This window comes from Homo sapiens, chromosome 1 (genome assembly GCF_000001405.40).
Source record: "Homo sapiens chromosome 1, GRCh38.p14 Primary Assembly".
Classification (NCBI taxonomy): Eukaryota; Metazoa; Chordata; class Mammalia; order Primates; family Hominidae; genus Homo; species Homo sapiens.
In genome coordinates this window covers 38,163,811-38,185,532 of record NC_000001.11, presented here as the reverse complement: position 1 = coordinate 38,185,532, position 21,722 = coordinate 38,163,811, and the positions used below count along the sequence as shown (strand labels likewise).

Here is a 21,722-nt window from a genome sequence, read left to right as displayed (position 1 = left end):
AGGAGGTAGAAATTGCAGAGACTGTGGCCACTACACTCCAGCCTGGGCGATACAGTGAGACTCTGTCTCAATTTAAAAAAAAAGAAAAAAGAAAGAAAGTCTTTGGGGAACTCCTACAGACACACATGCACCCTACAACCCACGCCCTGTGTTACCTTGGGGGACCCCACACTTTGAAAGCCAGTGGCCTCCTGCCTGTGTTGTTCTCTCTCTGCCCACCTCCACCTCCATCAGCTCACCCCTGCAGCCCTCCACTGAGCACTCCTCTTCCAGCTCCCGTTCCACTCTGAAAAAAGATTACCTTTCACACAGTTTTCACTGCCTAAGGAGTCCAGACTCTCACCTGTGTTCCACTCCCAGCTCTGCCTCCACCTGTGACTTGAGGCAAGCCTCTGCCCCTCATCAGGCCCCAGTTTCCCCAGATGCCTTCTGCTTAGACACTGGGCTTGTGGTCTGGCCCTTTAGCTTCCCCAGATTAGGAGGCCTCCTCGGGTCTCACTGCCACACCTCCTTCCACCTACACTTGAATTCTTGGGAGAGGTAGAAGAAATACCCACTTACCCACCCTATTCTGGTCCTGGTAGTGTCATGAGGGACTAAAATAAACAGCCGCTGACCTAAAGCATCTTCTCAGATTCCAGGCCTTCAGAGTCACCACTCAGGGCCTACTGAGGACATGAGCATGCCAGGCTGACCCAGCACGATGGAGCCTGGACTCCAGACTAGTGCATCCATTGGACATGCAGAACCCAAAAAGGACATCCAGGGAGAGGTCAGGACTGGGAGGAAGATGATCTGAATATGAAGCTAGCTCTACCCCTCAACTGACCTTGGGAACTTAAGTGAGCCATCTAACTTCCCAGAGCTCCCTGTATAATGAAAGCATCACGGCTTTCACACCTGCCCCATCCCTGGACACCAATGGTTCCTTGACAAGTGTTCATTTTCTTCTCTGCCCCTGCCACCTCCGTGCCTCAGCTCTTCATCTATAAACTAAGGAGGCCAATCTCCTCTCCTCCAAATTGTTTTGTAAGTCCAGATAAGAAGCTCTGCAAAGCCCTTGGCATATGATAGGTGATCATCAAACCTTATTTCATGCTTTCAAGTTGAACACCAAGAAAAGTTCGAACTAGAATACGTTCCTGATGTGTTACAATGTGATGTGCACAGTACTAGGGACATATTCTTATAAACAGTTTAATTTGAATCTAATTAAGCATCTAGGATGAACATCCAGCTTACAGGAAAAAAATGAAGATGGAAAAACAAGGTAAATGACATCACATAGAAACAATCAGACAAATCCAGTGTGTAGAAACTTCTACTGTACAAGAAAACTGGCCTAGACTCTTCAAAAAGCTAATTGATAGGAGAAAAAAAAAAGTTAAAAGGGCTATTCTAGATTTTATTTACTTTTTTTCCTCCTAGATACACAGTTTCTTACTCGGTTGCCCAGCCTGCAGTGCAGTGGCACAATCAGAGTTCATTGCAGCCCCTAACTCCTAGGCTCAAGCAATCCTCCTGCCTCAATCTCCTGAGTAGCTGGGACTACAGGTGTGTGCCACCACACCTGACTTTAGAGATGGGGGTCTCACTATGTTGCCCAGGCTGGTCTCCGACTTCTGGCCTCAAGCAATCCTCCCACCTCAGCCTCCCAAAGTGCTGGGATTCTAGATTTTAAAAGACAAAATGCAAAGCATAAAAACATATGCCATAATTAGGTTTTTTTTAAATTGAACTATAAAAAAAACCTATAAAATGCATTTTAGGACAATTGGGAAATATGGATATAAACTGGAAATTAACTGATATTATGGAATTACTGTTAATTTTCTCACATGCAATAATGGCATTGTGGATATGAAGAAGATTGTCTTTATTCTTAGGAGAAGCGTGAGAATTATTTAGGGATAAGAATCATGATGCCTACAACCCGTTTTCGAATACTATACCAAAAAAAGAGAGATAGGAAAGATGGCAAACTGTTAACAAATGCTGAATCTAGATGGAGAGTTCATGGGTAATAATTAGACCATTCTTTCAGCTTGTCTGTAAATTTGAAAACTTCCAAAATAAAAAGTTGGGGGTCAGTGGAAAAAACCCAGGATTGAGAACTGCGGAAGCAAACTCAGCCAGCTGCAGAGACCCCGCCTGGCCCCATGCAGCCGGGCTGGCCAAAGACAAAGGCTGAGTCACTATTAGAAGTGGTCCTTCCGGCCCTGGCTCCAAGCTGAGGACGGCAGGGGGTCGGGGGCCCAGCTGCGGTCCCACCTCCCCCACCACCCCTTTCTTGGAAATGTCAGCTCCCCAGGCTTCAAGGAGGGCCCTGTCCTGGTGCAAGCTGGAGTAAGGAGTTTTCTGTGAAGCTCACTGCTTCTTGGCTGGGAGGTGACCATGGTCACCAGCCCCTGGGGACAAAAACACTTTTGTTTGCACCAGTCTGAGCTTTTGGTCCCTGGTGCAAGAGTTGACATTGGTTCCCATTTCCAAATGCTCCTGTAGCAACTTCTCTCCATTTCCTTACTTCTGCTGGATGATGGGGGAACAGGTATCTGGGGTGGGGGATTGTTTGGGGCTCAGATCACTAGGATTTCCAGGCTGCATGGGCTGGGCCAGGCAGAGCAGAGCTAACTACTTGAGGACACAGCAGAGAGGGTACCTCCAGAAGACAGAACTGGAGAGTGGCTCAGACACACCCCACTGCCAATCCCCAAGAGTCCAGGCAGGGCCTAAATAAGCTTTGCAGGGGACAAGGGTTGTCATGGGCTCTAACGTATGCAAGAGGCTCTGGGTCTCCCATGCAACCTAGATCCCTGAGACTTTAGCAAGATCTCAGAATCTATGGGAGGTAGCCGTGAAATTTACCGAGTCTAGAGGCAGGTTTTAGCCTGTTTTTTGTTTGTTTGTTTTGAGTTGGAGTCTCGCTCTGTCACCCAGGCTGGAGTGCAGTGGTGCAATCTCGGCTGACTGCAACCTCTGCCTCCTGGGTTCAAGTGATTCTCCTGCCTCAGCCTCCTGAACAGCTAGGACTACAGGCACATGCCACCATGCCCAACTAATTGTTTGCATTTTTAGTAGAGTCGGGGTTTCACCGTGTTAGCCAGGACAGTCTCGATCTCCTGACCTTATGATCCGCCCACCTCAACCTCCCAAGGTTTTAGCCTGTTTTTTAACCTGAGTGAGGATATATCGAGGGTCTGGAGCAGTGCAGGTGGAGCTCACAGCAGCCAGCATTTGTTTAATCCTTCCCAAGAGCCAAGCACTGTGCTAAGGGTGGTCTGTGGGTTACCCCATTCACTCCTACTAAAAGTCCTGTTTCAGCTCCTTAACTATAATCAGAGGATGTGGACTCAGCTTTCTACTGTGGCTGAGAATGGACAAATAAACCCTAAGGAAATACTAAGGAAATCAGTAATGCCCAGCTTATGGAGCATGGTAAACCAGGACTTGAACCCAAATGGACAGTTACTCCTGTCCATAGAGAAGACAGTATTTTTCCTCTGAAAATAGCTCTAGCTCCAACCCAGTGCGTAACCAAATGGGCCGTCAAAAATCCAAGTGTTTGGGAGGCCTAGGTGGGTGAATCACCTGATGTCAGGAGTTCGAGACCAACCTGGCCAACATGGCGAAACCCTGTCTCTAATAAAAATACAAAAATTAGCCAGAAGTGGTGGTGGGTGCCTGTAATCCCAGCTACTCAGGAGGCTGAGGCAGGAGAATCACTTGAACACATGAGGTGGAGGTTGCAATGAGCCAAGATCACACCACTGCACTCCAGCCTGGACAACAGAGTGAGACTCCGTCTCAAAAAAAAAAAAAATCCAAGTGTAGGCCATAACGGTTTCCCAGAGTGGGTCTTATTGGGCATATTTCCCATGAGATAGTCCATAAAAAGGGGGTTCTGGCCCCGCGTGGTGGCTCACGCCTATAATCCCAGCCAAGGCAGGTAGATCATTTGAGATCAGGAGTATGAGACCAGCCTGGCCAACATGGTGAAACCCTGTCTCTACTAAAAATACAAAAATTAGCTGGGCATGGTAGTGTGTGCCTGTAATCCCAGCTACTTGGGAGGCTGAGGCAAGAGAATCGCTTGACCCCGGGAGGTGGATGTTGCAGTGAGTCTAGATCGCACCACTGCACTCCAGACTGGACAAAAAGAATGAAACTCTGTCTCAAAAAAAGCGGGGGAGGGGTGTGGCAGACATGGTCAAAAGAGCCCTTCCATGACTGGATTCTAAGATGAAAGTGGGGGCAGGACAGAGTAGGGGTGATCCAGGGTGATCTGTTGGCAGTTTTGTGGAATGATTCAGTCATTAGACCAGTTGTTCTACAGACAGAGCTCAACAGATCATCCCCTGTTTAAATTAGACCCCAACTCCACTAGAACAACAAAATTCTCGTATGAGTCAGAGTTTAACCATGAAAACAGAAATCACCTTAAGAATTTATAATAGGAGGAATTTAGTGCAGGGAATTGGTTACATAGGTCATAGAGAAACTGAACCCCCACCAGGTGACAGTGAGGTGACCAAAGATAAGCAGGAAGTCACTGTCACCTCTAGATTGGAGAGACAAAGGGAGGAGGTAATGTCATGGGCCAGGGCCACTCAAGAGACCGGAGCCACAGAACCTAGAGGAGTTGGAGCCGTGGAGGGGATGCAGCCGCAGCTAGAGAAGCCACCAAGACAGAAAGGGAAAGGGACAAATATCCTAGGTTCTCCCTCTTCCTCCACCATCCAGATGCCCACCAATGTTTCTTATTGGCCAAATCCAGGCAGCAGGCAGCTGACAGAGTGTATTAGCCCATTTTCATATTGCTGTGAAGAAATATCCAAGACTGGGTAATTTATACAGTAAAAGAGGTTTAGTGGACTCACAGTTCCATGTGGCTGAGGAGGCCTCACAATCATGGCAGAAGATGAAGGAGGAGCAAAGGCATGTCTTACATGGCAGCAGGCAAAGGACTGTGTGCAGGGGAACCATCCTTTATAAAACCATCAGATCTCATGAGATTTATTCACTATCATGATAACAGCACAGGAAAAACCTGCCCTCGTGATTCAATTACCTCTCACCAGGTCCCTCCCATGACACATGGAGATTATGAGAGCTATAATTCAAGATGAGATTTGGGTAGGGATACAGCCAAACCATATCACAGAGGATCCTGGAAATAAAGTCAGCAGGGTTAGCTCCCCAAAAGGGATCCCAGTGCAAACAGACTCAGGATATGCACAGTTCTCAGATCCGTGTTTCACATGAACTCTTGAGCTTCACATTCTCCTTCTGAAGGCCCCCAAGTGAAGAGAAAGGGAGGAAGTGTTGAGGATCCTCCAGCTCCATTCTGACTGTCCCAGGTACAGGCAGGTCACTCCTTTGAGCACAGGCAGAGATGCAGAAGTCAGACTTGCATGGGCATAAACATGCCACTTGGCAAGCCCTGCCTACTATCCAAAGCGTTAAGCTCAGTGGAAGTCTTGGGTTGAATTTAAAATCCCACAAACTTCAGTCAGAGAGCACCTGAGATCTTACCACACTTGACCCTGAATCCTGGCTACCCAGGACTAGCTATGGTCATGCCAGACTTTCTCAATGTAAAACATGCGGTTTCACATGTACGCCAAAAGCATCAAGCATTGGAATGCTGCAAAGGTCCCAGGTGGCTGGTGCAAGTCAGATTCCCCAGGAAACATTCTGAGATGGAGATTTATGTAAATGGAATTTATAAGAAACTCAACACGTGTCAAGGGTGAAGGAAGCAGGATTGGACAGAGAGAGAAATTGAACTGTAATGCAGTCTAAATGAAGGCCTCAGCTGCTCCCACAGGGAGCTCTGGCACTTGGCTGGGACTTCAGAGAAGGTTCGATTTGAGGCCAGGGGCAGGGCCTTTGTGCCCTTGCACAGCCGAAGACCGGATGTGGACTGCCCCCAGGGAGGAGACAGAACGTGGAGCTGGCCGGGTGTCTTCAGCCAAGAGCAGTTCCCAGAAAGGGACTCCACGGGGAGCAGCCAATGCTCCAGAAGCCGGGGAATGAGTGCCTTCTTCCCAAAGAAGGGATCCGGCAGTCACACACAGCATCCACTACCACTGCACAGGACCAAAAGAATTTTCCAAGGAGAAAGGCCTAACGCTGTGGGAGGTGTTTGGGGAGCTAACTGTGCTCTATGTTTTTATTGTTGTTGCTTTATTTATACATCCCAAGTAAACAGAAAGATGAGAGTGGGGAACACTACGTGACGACCAGTCATGAGGACTGCAGACCAGCATCTGCGCCATGGATTTTCCCACCCACCCATGACATAGTGAGACCTGGAAGTTCATCTTGCTGGGTGAATAAATGAGGTGCCCTGATACTCGGGTTTATAAGCCAGTTATGTGTCAGAAGCGTTCTGCCCCAAAAGAATGATGTAGGGTTTAGAGCTTTTAACCAGAACCCTTTTTTCTTTTCTGTTGTTTTTTTTGTTTTTTTGAGGCAGTATCTCACTCTGTCACCCAGGCTGGAGTGCAGTGGGGCAATCTCAGCCCACTTCAACCTCGACCTCCCAGGCTCAAGAGATCCTCCCACCTCAGCCTCCTGAGTAGCTGGGACTACAGGAGCATGCCACCATGCCTGGCTAATTTTTGTATTTTTTATAGAGATGGATGATATGGGGTTTCATCATGTCATCCAGGCTGATCTCAATCTACTGGACTCAAGAGATCTGCCCGCCTTTGTTTCCCAAAGTGCTGGGATTTACAGGTGTGAACCACCGCACCCAGCCCTGAAACCCTTCTTTAAAACAGTCATTAGCAAAGCCAACTGTCTATTAAAGAAATTTATGGTTTGTTCCAATTAAACCATGCGGCATCCAGAAAACTGCATTAAATCTGTGGCATCCAGAAAACTGCAGTTCCTTCTTTGCTTTGGAGGTGAGGGGACAGGCATCTGGCCACCCAGAAGCCGGAGCAAGTGTTCTGATAGAAATTAGCATAATGAGTGGGTCAGGATTTCTCACTGCCCTAGCCCTGATCAGTCAAGAGACTATCAACCTCCTCTTCTGACTTGTAGTAAAACTGGTCAGGCATGACCCAGTGCAATTGCATATGAAGACTTCACAGCATGGCTTTTAGAACATGCTGCTCCCGCCAAAAGAATGTTTTCCAGGCCAGACTATGTCTAGAAATAACTTTGCCCTGTGAAAACCTAAACTGATCCCAGCACTTTAAGAGGCCAAGGTGGGCGGATCACGAAGTCAGGAGATCGAGACCATCCTGGCTAACACAGTGAAACCCCATCTCCATTAAAAATACAAAAAATTAGCTGTGCGTGGTGGTGGGCACCTGTAGTCCCAGCTACTCGGGAGGCTGAGGCAGGAAAATCTCTTGAACCTGGGAGGTGGAGCTTGCAGTGAGCCGAGATCGTGCCACTGCACTCCAGCCTGGGTGACAGAGTGAGACTCCATCTCAAAAAAAAAAGAAAACCCAAACTGATTATGACTTCCCAAACAATCACCCACCCCAACCCCTGCAGCCCAGGCAGGCCAGGAGTTTGAGACAAGCCTGGCCAACATGGTGAAACCCCATCTCTACTAAAAATACAAAAATTAGCCAGGTGTGGTGGCAGGTGCCTGTAATCCCAGCTACTCAGGAGGCTGAGGCAGGAGAATCACTTGAACCCAGAAGGCAGAGGTTGCAGTGAGCCGAGATCACGCCATTGCACTCCAACCTGAGCAACAAGAGCGAAACTCTGTCTCAAAAAAAAAAAAAAAAAAAAAAAAAGGCTACCAGTGGTACAAAGGAGAAGAAAATCACCTCCTTAGGAATACAGTTGGCGTTGGTGTTGTATTTGAAATTGCGGCCGGGCGTGGTGGCTCACGCCTGTAATCCCAGCACTTTGGGAGGCCGAGGCAGACAGATCAAGAGGTCAGGAGATCGAGACCATCCTGGCTAAAAAATTAGCCGGGCATGGTGGCGGGAGCCTGTAGTCTCAGCTACTCAGGAGGCTGAGGCAGGAGAATGGCGTGAACCGGGGAGGCAGAGGCTGCAGTGAACTGAGATCACGCCACTGCACTCCAGCCTGGGTGACAGAGCGAGACTCTGTCTCAAAAAAAAAAAAGAAAGAAAGAAAGAAATTTGCACTTTTCAGACCAAGATCTGGAATTCAATGCTGTCAGCATTAAAAGAAGTGACCCTCCTGGTCCCAACGTGTGCGACTGGATTGCTATGGGACACAAAAAGAAAACAACAGAAGAAAGGGCCATGCCTTCATTCAGCCGTCTATGTACTGAGGACCTGCTGTGTGCTGGGCACTTGAAATATATACTAAGCAAAGAGATATGGCCCTACCCTTCTGGAGCTTACAAACCAGTGCAACACGGTGTGGAAAAGCCAGTGTCACAGACAGAGGTAGAATAACAACTGTAAGAAGTGCTGTGAAGAAAAGGAACACCTGTGACTTCCCAACCTTAAAACAGCAGACCTGACCCAATCTGGGGAGCCTGGATACATGCAGCCCCACCAGTGAAAGGCTTCATCACTCTGCAGGAGGAAGATCTGGAAGTTAGTGTCAGGTCCAATTGTGCAGCATGTGTATATTTTTGTACATTTTCTCTAGCCATACACTTTTCTATTTCTATGTATACATATATGTTTGTATATGTATTTATATAACTATGCATATAGATACTATGCCTAGATGCTTGAGTTAACCATATAGTAAACTGTATGTCATTCTCGTTCCAGAGCAGACTGTGCTGGTCTCAGTTAATTCTGTTGTTGACTTTCTGCATAGGAAGCCCCTTCACATAGTGTTTACAGTCATTGGTGTCCAGAGTGAGCGGAGCAGGGAAGAGCCCCCATCCAGAACCAGCCCTTAGCCACGGAGCATCCTGTCCCTGTGGACAACATGTCTGAATAGACAGGGGAGTGTGTATGAATTTGGACAAGGGTATGCCTGCAGGCCCATGAGGGAGGCCATGAAGACACAGAGTCTCTGTGTGCCTGCGTGTGTGCACACGTGTCGGCACACGAAGCGAGGACACACGTGTGTAAGTGCAAATGCTCTGTGTTCTGCCAAGAGGGGGGTGGAAGGGAGCGCCTCATTTTCCTGGGTTGGCAGTTTTGTGGCTCGATGCCTCTGGGAGTCGGGCACTTGCTGCACGTCCTGGTGTTCCTTACAGCCGTTTTGCCTGCAGCGGTCACACAGTTGAAAAATCTGGGTCCATGTGACTGCTCAGAGACTCTGCAAAGGCAAACAAGTAGGACTCATGGCCATTTTGCAATTCCTGCTCATTAGACATGTCTGGGGCCTTGTGAGTGAGCTCTGAGGATAAATAAGTATAAATATTATATTTGCCTCCAGGTTATCTTTAAAAATGTATTTCCCTCTCCCTCTACCCCCCCGCCAACCCCCACCAACAACTGTCAGTGCCTCCTGAATGCTCCTGGGTATCAGGAGTGCCGTGCTGAGAGTCTAGGGTCCTGAGCAAGTGGCCTGCTTCCCCTGGGCTTGCCCCCATCACCCAGGGCATGGGTAGCCAGAGGTGGCAGTGCACCCCAAGAGCCTATTGATGCCCCCTAGGTGAGGAAGGGGATGCCCATGGCCCCTGTGGTGCAGAGAGTCAGCCTCCAAACAACACCACACAAAGAGATGACAGGGGGCTTCGTCCTCGCCAGTAGGTCTGGCTGGCATGGCCAGGGCCACAAAGGAACTGGGGTCAGAGCCATGGGCTGGGTATATCGATGCTCAGCTGCCATGATGCCAGCTTAGGAGGGACTAAGGTCCCCATGTTGGGGCTAAGGAGGTGCAGGCACCTCCAATCTGTGGGTCATTGGATTTTAAGAAAGCAAAACCTACTCAAATAACTCAAGGAAAAAGGGGAGCGGGGAAGGAGATGGGGATTGTGTCCCCCCATACACACACACACCACTACCACTGTGATCTACTGAACTAGCAGTGTTTTCCTGGTGTTCAGGAACTGGTGTGTTTAGAAAGCACCCCATGAGAGCCACCAGTGTGAAGTGAGAAGGGGATGGAGGGGCTCAGAGCCCCACTGGGCAGGCTGTGAGCGGCAGAGGCGGCACCATCACAGGGCACCTTCTGCGCTTCCCTCCCTCCTCTCTGGGGCTACCGCCAGCATCCGCTCTCTGCCCATAACAGCCTTTCAGTGTGTGAGGAAGAAAACAGGCCCCGCATGCATCTCCAGGCTAAGCTGCCTCGGCTCTGCCTCATGGGACAATATTTGCAGTCCCCTCGCTGACCCCAGCTCCCAGCCACTGTCCTCCAAATGAGCCCCATCTGCCAGCATTGCATAAAATATGGGTCACAGTGGAATCGGCTCAGTGTGGGACCAGAATTGCAGGTCATGGGCTGCCCCAAGCATCTTGGGAGAGACTGCCTGTCCTCCCTCCCTCTTGCCTGCCCCAGACTCAGGCCAAGCGACCTTCTTGGACTCTATATCGGGAAAGGGGTGGCACCATCCCAATGACATGAAAAATGTCCCCAAATGGCATAACAATAATAGCTACCGTGTGTTTAATACTTCCTGTGTACCAGGCATTTGACTGATGACTTTGCACACATAATCTTATTTTGTCTTTACTACAATAGAGGTAGTGTTATTTTCACTTTGCAGATGAGGAAACTGAGGCCTAGAGTGGCTGGATAACCATCTTAAAGTCATACACACAGGAAGAAACAGAGACAGGCCTTGAACCTCGGCCTTTCTCAGCCCAAGGCTGTGATCTTAACCACAGCTCTACACTGCCCATAGGATTTTCATAAAGCGACAGAATCCAGCTGCCTATGTGTTCCCCTCTCAGTGACACTAGGGAATGGGAGCTCCAGAGTCACCACATGAAGACCAGAGCTCCTCCAGAATCCTATGAAGAGATGAAGCATCCCTAATCACTGGAACGTGACCAGTCTACATCTACTACCTACACCCAGGATCATGCCATTTCACTTTCTGAGCTCCCTGTGGTGTGATCAGAAACCATGGGCTATGTCAAGCCTGGTAAATGGAACTTGGGTAGTAAGATGAGAAGAAATTCAGTGATGGAAAACCCCTAGAAGGCACCCAATCTAACCCCTTCATTACACAGAGAAACCCATACCTAGTAAAGGGAAGAGGCTTTTTGGTACCACCAAGCTTAGAGCTGCAAATGGAAAATGGATTTCATCTCATATACCAACTCTGACCAGTTGGCTGGCTTTGAGCATTGTATTAAGAATTCTAGGGCCATATTTGGGTTCAGTGGGAAGGAATGCTGTAGTTAACCAGCAATGCTCACCATGGTTTCTAGAAGTAATGGTAGCAAGCATGCCAACCCAAGACTGGGTCTCAGGTCTCCTGAATGCAAGTCCAGTGCCACACAGGCACGAGCACTTTAGTCAATTACGAAACACTCTAGAAAAACCTATTCAAGAAAATTATGAAACAAAAGCGTCACGAAGTGTCTCAGTGGTTTTCTTAGGCACAACATATTTGGTTGCAAGGAACAGAAACCCACTCAAGTTAGCTTAAGTAAATGATAATTAATTGTCAGGATATCACAGGCAATTTCACAGATGCTCAAGGACAGGAAACAGCACATCTAGCCCACAGGAGCCCAGAAGTGGAATTGAAACCTCAGGAACAGACGCCATTCTCTTTACCTCTTAAAGCTGCATGTGGCAGAAAATGTTGGCTACCTATACAATAGCTATACCTCGTCCTTCTTCCTTGCTAACAGAATGCAGAGTTTGCTCAGATATCAGGCTATAAAGAGACCAGCCCAAGGGAGCATCATGACTCGTCTAAATCAGCCTTGATAATCCTATTCTCCTTTGTCAATGATTGGTGTATCCCAGTTCTGGGCAATGACGTAGAAGGAAAAGTCTGTATGGAGCTTAGTGGAAGAAGGAGACACATGGAGAAGCTTATCCTTCCCTTCCAGCTTTAGATGTGGCCACATGAGGTTGTTTCCATGTGATCGGTCCAGATTGGTGAGGTGTATCCCCCTGCTCCAATCATCCGTGAGTAGCTCTGAGATCACCTGCTACAGTTGGCTGACCAAGACGAGATCACTCACATTCTGAGGGTAGTAAAGTGAAAAGCTGACAAGAAACTTGATGAGACTTGAACCACCAGCTACAGCTTTCCTGGATTTGCCCCATCTTCTCATATCCCTCTTAAGTGAGAAAATAAGTGGGCATATCATTTAAACCTTTTTCGGTGGTACTGAAAAGCCTCTTCCCTTCTCTAGGTATGGGTTTCCTTGTGTAATGAAGGGGTTGGATTGGGCAATTTCTAGGGGTTTTCCATCACTGAGTTTCTTCTCATCTTACTAAACCTTTTTTAGTTTAGTCAGTTCTGCTTCTTCTTTTTTTTTTTTTTCTGAGACAGTCTCACTCTGTCGCCCAGGCTAGAGTGCAGTGGCATAAGCTCGACCCACTGCAACCTCTGCCTCCCAGGTTCAAGTGATTCTCATGCCTCAGCCTCCTGAGTAGCTGTGACTACAGGTGCCTGCCACCATGCCTGGCTATTTTTAATTTATTTTTAGTAGAGACAGGGTTTCACCATGTTGACCAGGCTGGTCTCGAACTCCTGACCTCAAGTGATCGCCTGCCTCGGCCTCCCAGAGTGCTGGGATCACAGGCGTGAGCCACCGCGCCCAGCCTAATTCTGCTCCTTGACACTACAATATCCTCCATATTTTATTTCATCCTCTCCATGCTTTAAAGTCCTCAACTGTAAAATGTGTAATAATAAAATTGTTCTAAGGATTAAAGGAAATGGTGTATATAAAGCACCTTAAAGGAAATGGTGTATATAAAGTGCCTTGCACAATTGTTAACAAGCTTCACCAGTTACCCTTAGAAATCATTATTATTTGTGCTAGCTGAGGTCCAAGATGGCCACCATCAATTCCTTCCCTGCCTGTAACACTGCCATTTTCCCCACCGAGAGGTGGAGTCTATGTTTCCCACCCCTTAAGTCTAGGGTAGTCTATGACTGCTTGGACAAACAGAACAGGGTAGAATTGATATTATGCCAGTTCCAGGCCTAGCCCTTAAGAAGACTGGCCATTTTTGCTCCCCTTCTCTTCAGACACTTGCTGTTAGGACACTTCTACTTAGAACCCAACTACCATGCGGTAAGAAGCCCAAGCCACGTGGAGAGGCCATTTGTAGCTACTCTGGAAACAGCCCTAGCAGAGTTCCCTGACTATAGACAGTGTCAATTGCTATGATTGGCATCCATCCCAGCTGGGCTTGCAGATGACACCAGCCCCAGCCATAGTCTGATTGTAACAGTATGAGTGACCACAAATGAGAAGGACCTAGCCAATTCTAGTCAACCCACAGAACATGAGAGATAATAATAAATTGTTGTTATAAGCCACTAAGTTTTGGGCTGGTCTGTTATACAGCAAGAGACAACCAAAACATTATTCATATATTTATTATGTCTGTTTCTCTGCATTCCCCCATAACTCTGACTTGCATGTGAAGGGGAGTGTGTCCCAGGAGCAGGTGGATAAGTTGGAGCATCTACTTTGGCCCCAACTCTACATGACTATTCCATTCTAGTGCCCAATACCATCTTACTGATTTAGTCCCTGTGTCTATGTTCCAAATGCTAAAAGAATAAGTCTGATTGGTCAAGTGGAGCTAGGCGCTCACCCCTAGTAAAACCATTTGTGATCAAGAAAAAAGGTCATGTGCTCCTTAGTACTGTATGGAGTGGGGGTGGGAGGATTGTAGGTACAGAAGAAATAGTATGTGTCTCTTGCAAGATATCTCTCAATTCATCTATTTTATGTTGGTTTTTTTCTCAAGCACAACCTAATTATCAAGGTGGCTTCAGGAGCTTCAGCCACTACATGCTCTCAGGTTCAAGTATATGAAAGAGAACCACACTGTTTTCTGGTAGCTCCTCCCAAAGTCCTGGGATTCACCATGAACAAATTTGCAATCAAGGAGAAGAGATGATCTGATTGGGGAGGCCTGGACTATAGACTCTACTTGTGGAATCTAGAGCCATTTCCATGCAAGGGTGAATGGATGTTGGTGTGTGCATGTCACAGGGGAGAGTACAGGAAGCTAAATAACAAATCCCCACCACGCTCACCAAATACACATGGGAATTCCCAGAAACTTCAAGGGGAGAGGGGGTGTTCTGAGCAATGAATACTATTCTGATCAAAGGAAGGCATAGCTCATTGGTAAACAAGAGATGGCTATCTCCTTAACCTCTTAGTCTTAGGCAAGCATCACCAGTCTCTCTGAGTGTTCTCTTTTCTAGGATAGACAGTTCTGGCTTCTTCTACCCTTCCTCGTAGATCTTAATCACACAGGATCATGGTGGCCAGGCCAGTGGCCACCCCTATGAGGGGCCGTGCTGCCTGGACACCTCTTCAACACTAATTATAGCAAAATAATATCTCTAGAAATCCATACCATCACAGTCAGGCCCACTTGGGGTAAGTTGGAGGCAAGTCTCTATTTTCTTAAGCCATACCCTTAAACTTTTGTACTTCTAGCTATTTCTCTTTCCCTCGGGGTCCTATTTCTATTAGCATTTCTACTGGTTATAACTGCCCTCCAATAAGGCCAGGTGGAAGGCTTGTCTCCTTAAGAATGACAATTATGTTGCATGAGGTGAAAAGGCATTCTCAGTCCCAGGATGGCTCTGTGGTTTTCTGCCTTGCCCAAAGCAGCCATTTTGGAGGGGGTGGGGAGAAGTGGGCATCAGAAACCCAAACTCTGTCTGGGCCTCCGAGCCATCCATCAGGGGCTGATAGTCTCTTCATTGGTGGCCCAGGGCCAGGGCAGTGAGTGGCTTATTTCTACTGCATTACAGTTTGAGCCCATATGCAAACCAGAAGACTATGTCTATAAATAAGATATTATAGCTAAATCAATATTGATTATTAGGAGTTAGGGTTATATTTAAAGCCATAAAACTGAATAAATATTATGGTGAAAGTGTCCTAAATCTCATGGGCAAAATCACTAAGCCACAGGCCTTGGATGGATGGAGCAGTGACCCTGCTTCCCATCCCCCAGAGGAGGTGTCAAGCAGAAAGATGGCTGTCCCTCGTAGGGTGGGGAGAGGGAAAGGCAATTTGGGGACAATGTAAATGTCTTTCAACCCACTTCTCAGCCACATTCTTGGTTTTGTTCAGGATCTGTGTTACACATCACTTGGTATATGCTCAGCTGATTTTCATGACTGGTATTAAAAGATTGGTCTATTCGGACTGTCATGATGATTGTTATTCATCAATGTAATGACAAATTTATTTTTCTAACACAACCTTTTTTCTGATTGGAAAGTAACTCATGTTTATTATAGAAACTACAGAAAGGTGACCGGGTGTGGTGGCTCACGCCTGTAATCCCAGCACTTTGGGAGGCTGAGGTGGGCAGATCACCTGAAGTCGGGAGTTCGAGACCAGCCTGACCAACATGGAGAAACCCCGTCTCTACTAAAAATACAAAATTAGCCAGGTGTGGTGGTGCATGCCTGTAATCCTAGCTACTTGGGAGGCTGAGGCAGGAGAATGGCTTGAAGGCAAATTGCTCTTTTGCACTCCAGCCTGGGCAACAAGAGTGAAACTCCGTCAAAGAAAGGAAGGAAGGAAGGAAAGAAGGAAGGAAGGAAGGAAGGGAGAGAGGGAGGGAAACTATAGAAAGATAAAATAAGCAAAGAGAAGAAAATAAAATTCACCCGGAATCCTACTACCCAGAGATAATCACCACTAGCATTTTGGTGTACATCCTTCCAGTCATTTTTCTGAGTGTGTGTGTGTGTGTGTGTGTGGTCTGTGTGTTTGATATAATTGTTTAATAGGGTTGGAATAGCTAGGCTGTTTTGCAACCTTGACAGATTAATTCTATTATATGTACTGAAATTTATTTAATCAACCTGTTATTACTACATATTTAGATTGTTTCCAAAACTAATTAAATTACTTTTCCTTTTTGTTCATTCTTTTAATAAGTGAAACTAAAAGGTGCTTCTCTTTAATAAATAAGCCATTATTTCTTTGTAGTTGATAAGGAGGAATAAAACCTGAGACAGGAACAGGGCCCCTTGTCCAGTAGAACAAAGGAAGTAACTGTGTTCCTGACTGTAGTGTGTGCCTTAGTGTGGTTCAGAGGCAGTGCGGTGATGGGCTCCAATGGAAACCCAAGATCAGTAAGGCCTCCCCACTCAGCCTCTGCCACACATCTCCTCGCCTCACAGAACCTGGAGTCCTCTTGAGGCCCTGCGCTGCACCATCACAGGACTAACTGCTCCATCTGGAAGAGGAGGGGTGCCCTCCTCATTAGTGAGCACTGGTTGGGAATAACTACCATTGCATAGAGCCTTGGCAGAAGGGTAATTCCTGTGTCTACTTCCCACTACTCCACACCAACTATGCACATAAAGAGGGCCCTAGCCTTCACCTGTCTGCGGAGGTTGGGGAAGACAGGACCTAAAGTCAGCCAGCCAGTCACTGTCTCCCAGGAAGCTGAATCCTGAGCAAAGGTGCAAGGATCACGGCCATTTGGAGGCTAACTTGAATGGTGGCAGAGTTCAATCCTGCTTCTTAGCAGTTTCTCAGCTTCCTGCTTCCTAATCCAGGCTGCCAATCCAGGCTTCCTCAATCCCTGCCTTTCACAGGTGTGAGTTCCTAGCCTTCTGTTAATTACTGTATTAATCAGGGTTCTGTGGAGGATGAAAACCCCCACGATCTGCCATTTGCAAACTGGAGACCCAGAAAAGCCAGTGGTGTAAATTCCAGACTGAGTCCACAAGCCTGAGAACCAGGAGTGCCAATGCAAGTCCCAGTCCACAAGCATGAGAAGACCGATGTCTCAGCTCAAGCAGACGGGCAGAGAGAGCCAACTCAGCCTTCCTCTGCCTTTTTGTTCTACTCAGGCCCTCAACAAATGAGGTGAGGCCCACCCACATTGGGAAGGGTGCTCTGCTCTACTCTGTCCACCAATGCAAATACTAATCTCCTCTGGAAATACTCTCTCAGACACACCCAGAATTAATGTTAACCAGATATCTGGGTATCCTATGGCCAGTAGAGATGACACATCAAAATAACCATCAAAATTGGTGATGCTGAGTTAGTTCTGTTGCTTGCAGACAAGAATCCTAACAGAAATCTACTTCCTTCACACTCCCCTCACTCACCTTTCAAAGCTCAGGTTAAATGTCATCTCCTCTCTGAAGCTGTCCCCAAGTCCCCTAAAGGTAATCAATATTATCTTTGTGCCTCACTTACACAGCCCTTTGCTTGTAACTCTTAGAGTACTTACTTTATCCTGCTTTTTATTTAAAGTAATTTGCTTTAATTAATTTATTTATTTATTTATTTTTTGAGACAGAGTCTCGCTCTGTCGCCCAGGCTGGAGTGCAGTGGCGGGATCTCGGCTCACTGCAAGCTCCACCTCCCGGGTTCATGCCATTCTCCTGCCTCAGCCTCCCAAGTAGCTGGGACTACAGGGGCCCGCCACCATGCCTGGCTAGTTTTTTTCTATTTTTAGTAGAGACGGGGTTTCACCATGTTAGCCAGGATGGTCTCGATCTCCTGACCTCGTGATCCACCCGCCTCAGCCTCCCAAAGTGTTGGAATTACAGGTGTGAGCCTCCATGCCCAGCCTATTTCAAATAATTTTTAACCTGACACAGAGCCAAAGTTGTGTCTTACACTGTAATTATAGGAACTTGTTGACAGGAGCTTATGTGAATAAATAAATGAATATGCATATATATATATATATACACACACACATATATGAATAGGTATAACACACTTTGTGTTCAGCCATCAACTGATTAACCAATGTTAACAGGGACACTGGATATTGTTCAGTATTTAGTGAAAATGAAAAGTCACAAGCCTTTCCATCTTCTACAGATGTGAAAAGTATTTCCGGTCAGGATACGTAAACATGAAGTTGTCAGTGTTTCCTAGTGCTTTATATTTGTATTCACTGTGAGCTGGTGCACCTGGCTATTGTTAGACCCTAACTATTCCTCAGTGACTCTGTATCAGGCTTCACAAACTGGCCACCCGCGGGCCAAATGCATCCTGGAACTCTTGCTTGTCCCACATTGGTATTTTTGTTTAATTGAGTTAGTTGCCAACATTTAAAATTCAGGAGATCTCACATAAAATTCCAGATTTCTGACTTCTCTTGGAAACTCAGAAGACCTGGCGACACCAGGTTCAACTTCCCAAATGTCAACAATTGGCTGGAGCTAAGCAGTGGCTACTCTCCCTCCCCCGACTCCCTTGGGATGGAGTATGAACTCTCATACTGACCGCAGCCCCCACAAAGCCCACTTCACTCATGCCCTGCCTGGTCCCTGAACATATTACTACCGTTGATCTCCACTTGCAAAGGTTGATAATTAAAGGTGAAAAGATGGCTTCAGTGTTTCCAGAATATCATAGTCAGGAAAAGGCATATCTAGAGAATCCTGGGAAACTACCCTCCTCACTCCATTCCCACCTTCCCTCATGGAGAATTCACCTGCTTCTGCAAAACTAAAACCAAGTTATTCTTTTCCCCTAGAGCCTCCAGAGACACAAGTTCATCCTTCCTTGTGGATGAACAAGGAAGATTCTAGAGAGGAGGATTCTAGCACCCAAAGTCTCCAAAACCCAAAATGGAGTCAGAAGTCAAGGCCAGGCCTTTCCATCCTACCATAACCCGGTGGGATAGAATTAATTTGCCCCAATATACAATGAAGAAAGTGAAGCCCAGAGAGGTGAAATGACTTACCCAAGGTCACATAGCTGAAAAGCAGCCCATGTGGGGCTCATGCTGGCTGCTCTAGCCATTGCCTGGAGGCATCTGGAGCTCAGCCAGGCTAGGGAGGGGTGGAGCCTATAGGTAATCCTGTGACTCTCAGCCTTTGAGGCAGTGTCGGGGAATCTGCGGCTCCATGTAGGAGCATCTCCTGGCTAACACAGGGCAGCCAGGATGAAGGCTTTGGCTCTAAGGACAAAGAGCAGTTGGGTGTGGGAGGATGACCCAACTCCATCCCCAGTGGCTCAGTTCATGATGCGGCACACCCCAGTCTCAACCCCAGGCCAGGATGCCTCTGGGCAAGACAAGTGTGGCGCCAGAACCTTTCTGTGCCAGGATGTCAGAGCAGGAGAGGGCAAAAGAGATGTAATTCTTGTTCAGAGCTTGCTATTTTTTCTTTTCATAGGGAGGGAGAAGGGTAAGGTCTTGAGGAGACATACTTGCCTCCTCTTTCTTTCGCACCCCGCCATTCAATCCATCTACAGACTGATGGCATCGCCTCCAAAACAAATCCTGACCCCACCACATCCCTTCCTGTCTTAGCTTCACAACTTCATTCTAGCCACACAATTACAGTGGCCCCTGCCTCCCTGCCTCCACACTTGACCTCATGCAACCCACTCTCAGCACATAGTACAAGCTTTTTTTTTTGTTTTCTTTTCTTTTCTTTCTTTTTTTTTTTTTTAATTGAGATAGAGTCTCATTCTGTCACCCAGGCTGGAGTGCAGTGGCAGGATCTCGGCTCACTGCAACCTCTGCCTCCCGGGTTCTAGTGATTCTCCTGCCTCAGCCTCTGAGTAGCTGGCACACGCCACCATGCCTGGCTACATTTTTGTATTTTTAGTAGATACAGGGTTTCACCGTGTTGGCCAGTCTGGTCTTGAACTCCTGGCCTCAAGTGATCCACTCACCTTGGCCTTCCAAAGTGCTGGGATTACAGGCATAAACCACTGTGCCCAGCCCAAGCTTTCTAAAATGTAAATCAGAACTCATCTGCTTAAAATCCTCTCAAAGGCTTCTCATTACCCTCAGAATACAATCCAAACTCTACCATGGCTTACAAGGTCCAGTATGTTGTGGCCTTTACCTGCCTCTTGAAATGCACTTCCTGCTGGTCTTCTCCATACACACTACACCCCAGCTCCAACAGCCTTTTTCTGTTCCTTGAACTCAGCCAAGCTTATTCCCACCTCAAGTCCTCCTCACCAGTTGTTCCCTCTGCTTGGAATGCTCTTTCACCTATCTTTGTGGGATCTCAGCTCAAATGTGACCTCCCCAGACAGCCCTTCCTGACCCTCAATCTAGAGAAGTTTGCCTCCAGTCACTTTCACTCACGTTATCCAATTTTACTTTCTTCACAGGACTAACATTATCTAAAATTATCTTATCTAAGTATTTGTTTTATCTGTTGAAGCTCTCTCCCTGCTAAGGATCTGAGCCCATGAGAGCTGGGCCAATGTCTGTCTTGTTCAATACCATTTCCCCCAGAGAGTGGCACATAGTAATATGCAATAAATAGTTGTTAAATTAATTAACTAATTAATTATCCAGGTGAGAGATGACAGGAACCTAAAGTAAGGCAGTTGCATCAAGAGTGAAATGGAAAGAATAAATGTGAGAGGGATTTAAGAACCAGAATCAATAGGGCCAATTCTAAAGACGAGATGAAACAGCAGGAGCCTTGGGCTTGAACAGCTTGGTAGGTGCTGAAATAAGTCATCAATATGGGTCATGTATGGGGAGGGGACAATAATGAATTCAGTTTTGAAAAGTTGATTTTGAAGTACCTGAGGGACTTCCAAATGATGTCTGGTTGTACTTTGAAGTTCAGGAAAGAGATTTAGGATGCTGGTTGAGATCTGAGGAAATCCTGGGGGAATAAGCAGTAAGTGGCTGGAGCTATGGCTTGATCCTATGTGCGGTAAGTGGAGGGTCTAAGATGCAACCCAAGACAACCCAAAATTGAACAAGACAGGTGGAGCAGAACCAGAAAAGGCTCCTGAGAAGGCATGCCTGGAGAGGTGGAAGAGCAAGAGGAGTGTTGCTAGAGGGCAAACCTCTCAAGGAGAAGGGAGTGCTCAACAGTTTCAAAAGGCAGGAGAAAGTCTGAAGGTACAACTGGAAAGTACTGACCTTCCAGTGTGGGGACCACTAGGGGCCTCCTTGGAGCAGTCTCCATGGTGGCCTCTGGATGGACACCAGACTGGAGTGCGTTGAGGAGTGAGTAGGAGGGAAGGACATGGACACAGTCATGGAGTCGAAACTCATCTGGTCAGTCTGGCTGTGAATGGAAGGTCAAAGTCATGGTGATAGGCAGGGAGGACAAGGGATCAACGAGTGATTTTTTTTTTAATTGGGAAAGACTGCCATCTATGTAGCCCAAACTTTTGATTGTATGCTAGTCTATAACACGGTTTAACTTCTTTCCCAAAGGGCTGCTAATGACCATGCAAATCACCAAATATAGTGTGTTCTAGGTCCTCAGCAGCATTTATGGTATGAATGAATGCTGAAACTGCCCAAAAAAAGAAACCCTTGAGCCAGGTACCAAATTCCTCCACCAACCTAGGAGAGTAAAAGAAGAAATGACTGTGAGAAAGAGATGCAGTGAGTGATGTAGTAGATAATATGATTCTCAAAGCCTCGGTGGGATGGGAGATGTGGGTGATACAGGGCTTGGCTTTAATGGTCTTTGAATCCCCTTGCGTGGCTCTGATAAAAAGAAGCTGAGTAAAACAATGTAATAATAACAACAAAAAGACTTGGCCTTGGAACCCTTATCTAGATTCTACTTCCAGCTGTACCACCAGCTGTGTGACTGCCTTTTGGGCCTCAGTTTCTCCATCTGCCCTTTGGGGACATTGATCTAGACCTTCCCTGAGAGCCTGCCACCTCTGACACCATCCCTGAAACCAGTCAGCCTAGATTTATATGCTAGC

At 47.0% G+C, this 21,722-nt stretch overlaps 1 long non-coding RNA gene across 5 annotated transcripts in view, besides 5 other annotated features; it reads right to left on the bottom strand.

Moving 5' to 3' along the window:
* LOC105378654 (uncharacterized) overlaps nt 1-21,722 on the bottom strand; it is a 77,745-nt gene that overhangs the window by 33,708 nt on the left and 22,315 nt on the right. The window lies entirely within an intron of this gene.
* Nucleotides 10,934-11,013: an enhancer, noted in NCBI's record as "active region_792". NCBI's record gives its function as "activates an Ori minimal core promoter by ATAC-STARR-seq in GM12878 lymphoblastoid cells {active_cell/tissue: GM12878}" and the evidence as "EXISTENCE:reporter gene assay evidence [ECO:0000049][PMID:35858748]".
* Nucleotides 11,685-11,734: an enhancer, noted in NCBI's record as "active region_791". NCBI's record gives its function as "activates an Ori minimal core promoter by ATAC-STARR-seq in GM12878 lymphoblastoid cells {active_cell/tissue: GM12878}" and the evidence as "EXISTENCE:reporter gene assay evidence [ECO:0000049][PMID:35858748]".
* Nucleotides 11,785-11,834: an enhancer, noted in NCBI's record as "active region_790". NCBI's record gives its function as "activates an Ori minimal core promoter by ATAC-STARR-seq in GM12878 lymphoblastoid cells {active_cell/tissue: GM12878}" and the evidence as "EXISTENCE:reporter gene assay evidence [ECO:0000049][PMID:35858748]".
* Nucleotides 11,845-11,894: an enhancer, noted in NCBI's record as "active region_789". NCBI's record gives its function as "activates an Ori minimal core promoter by ATAC-STARR-seq in GM12878 lymphoblastoid cells {active_cell/tissue: GM12878}" and the evidence as "EXISTENCE:reporter gene assay evidence [ECO:0000049][PMID:35858748]".
* Nucleotides 12,175-12,434: an enhancer, noted in NCBI's record as "active region_788". NCBI's record gives its function as "activates an Ori minimal core promoter by ATAC-STARR-seq in GM12878 lymphoblastoid cells {active_cell/tissue: GM12878}" and the evidence as "EXISTENCE:reporter gene assay evidence [ECO:0000049][PMID:35858748]".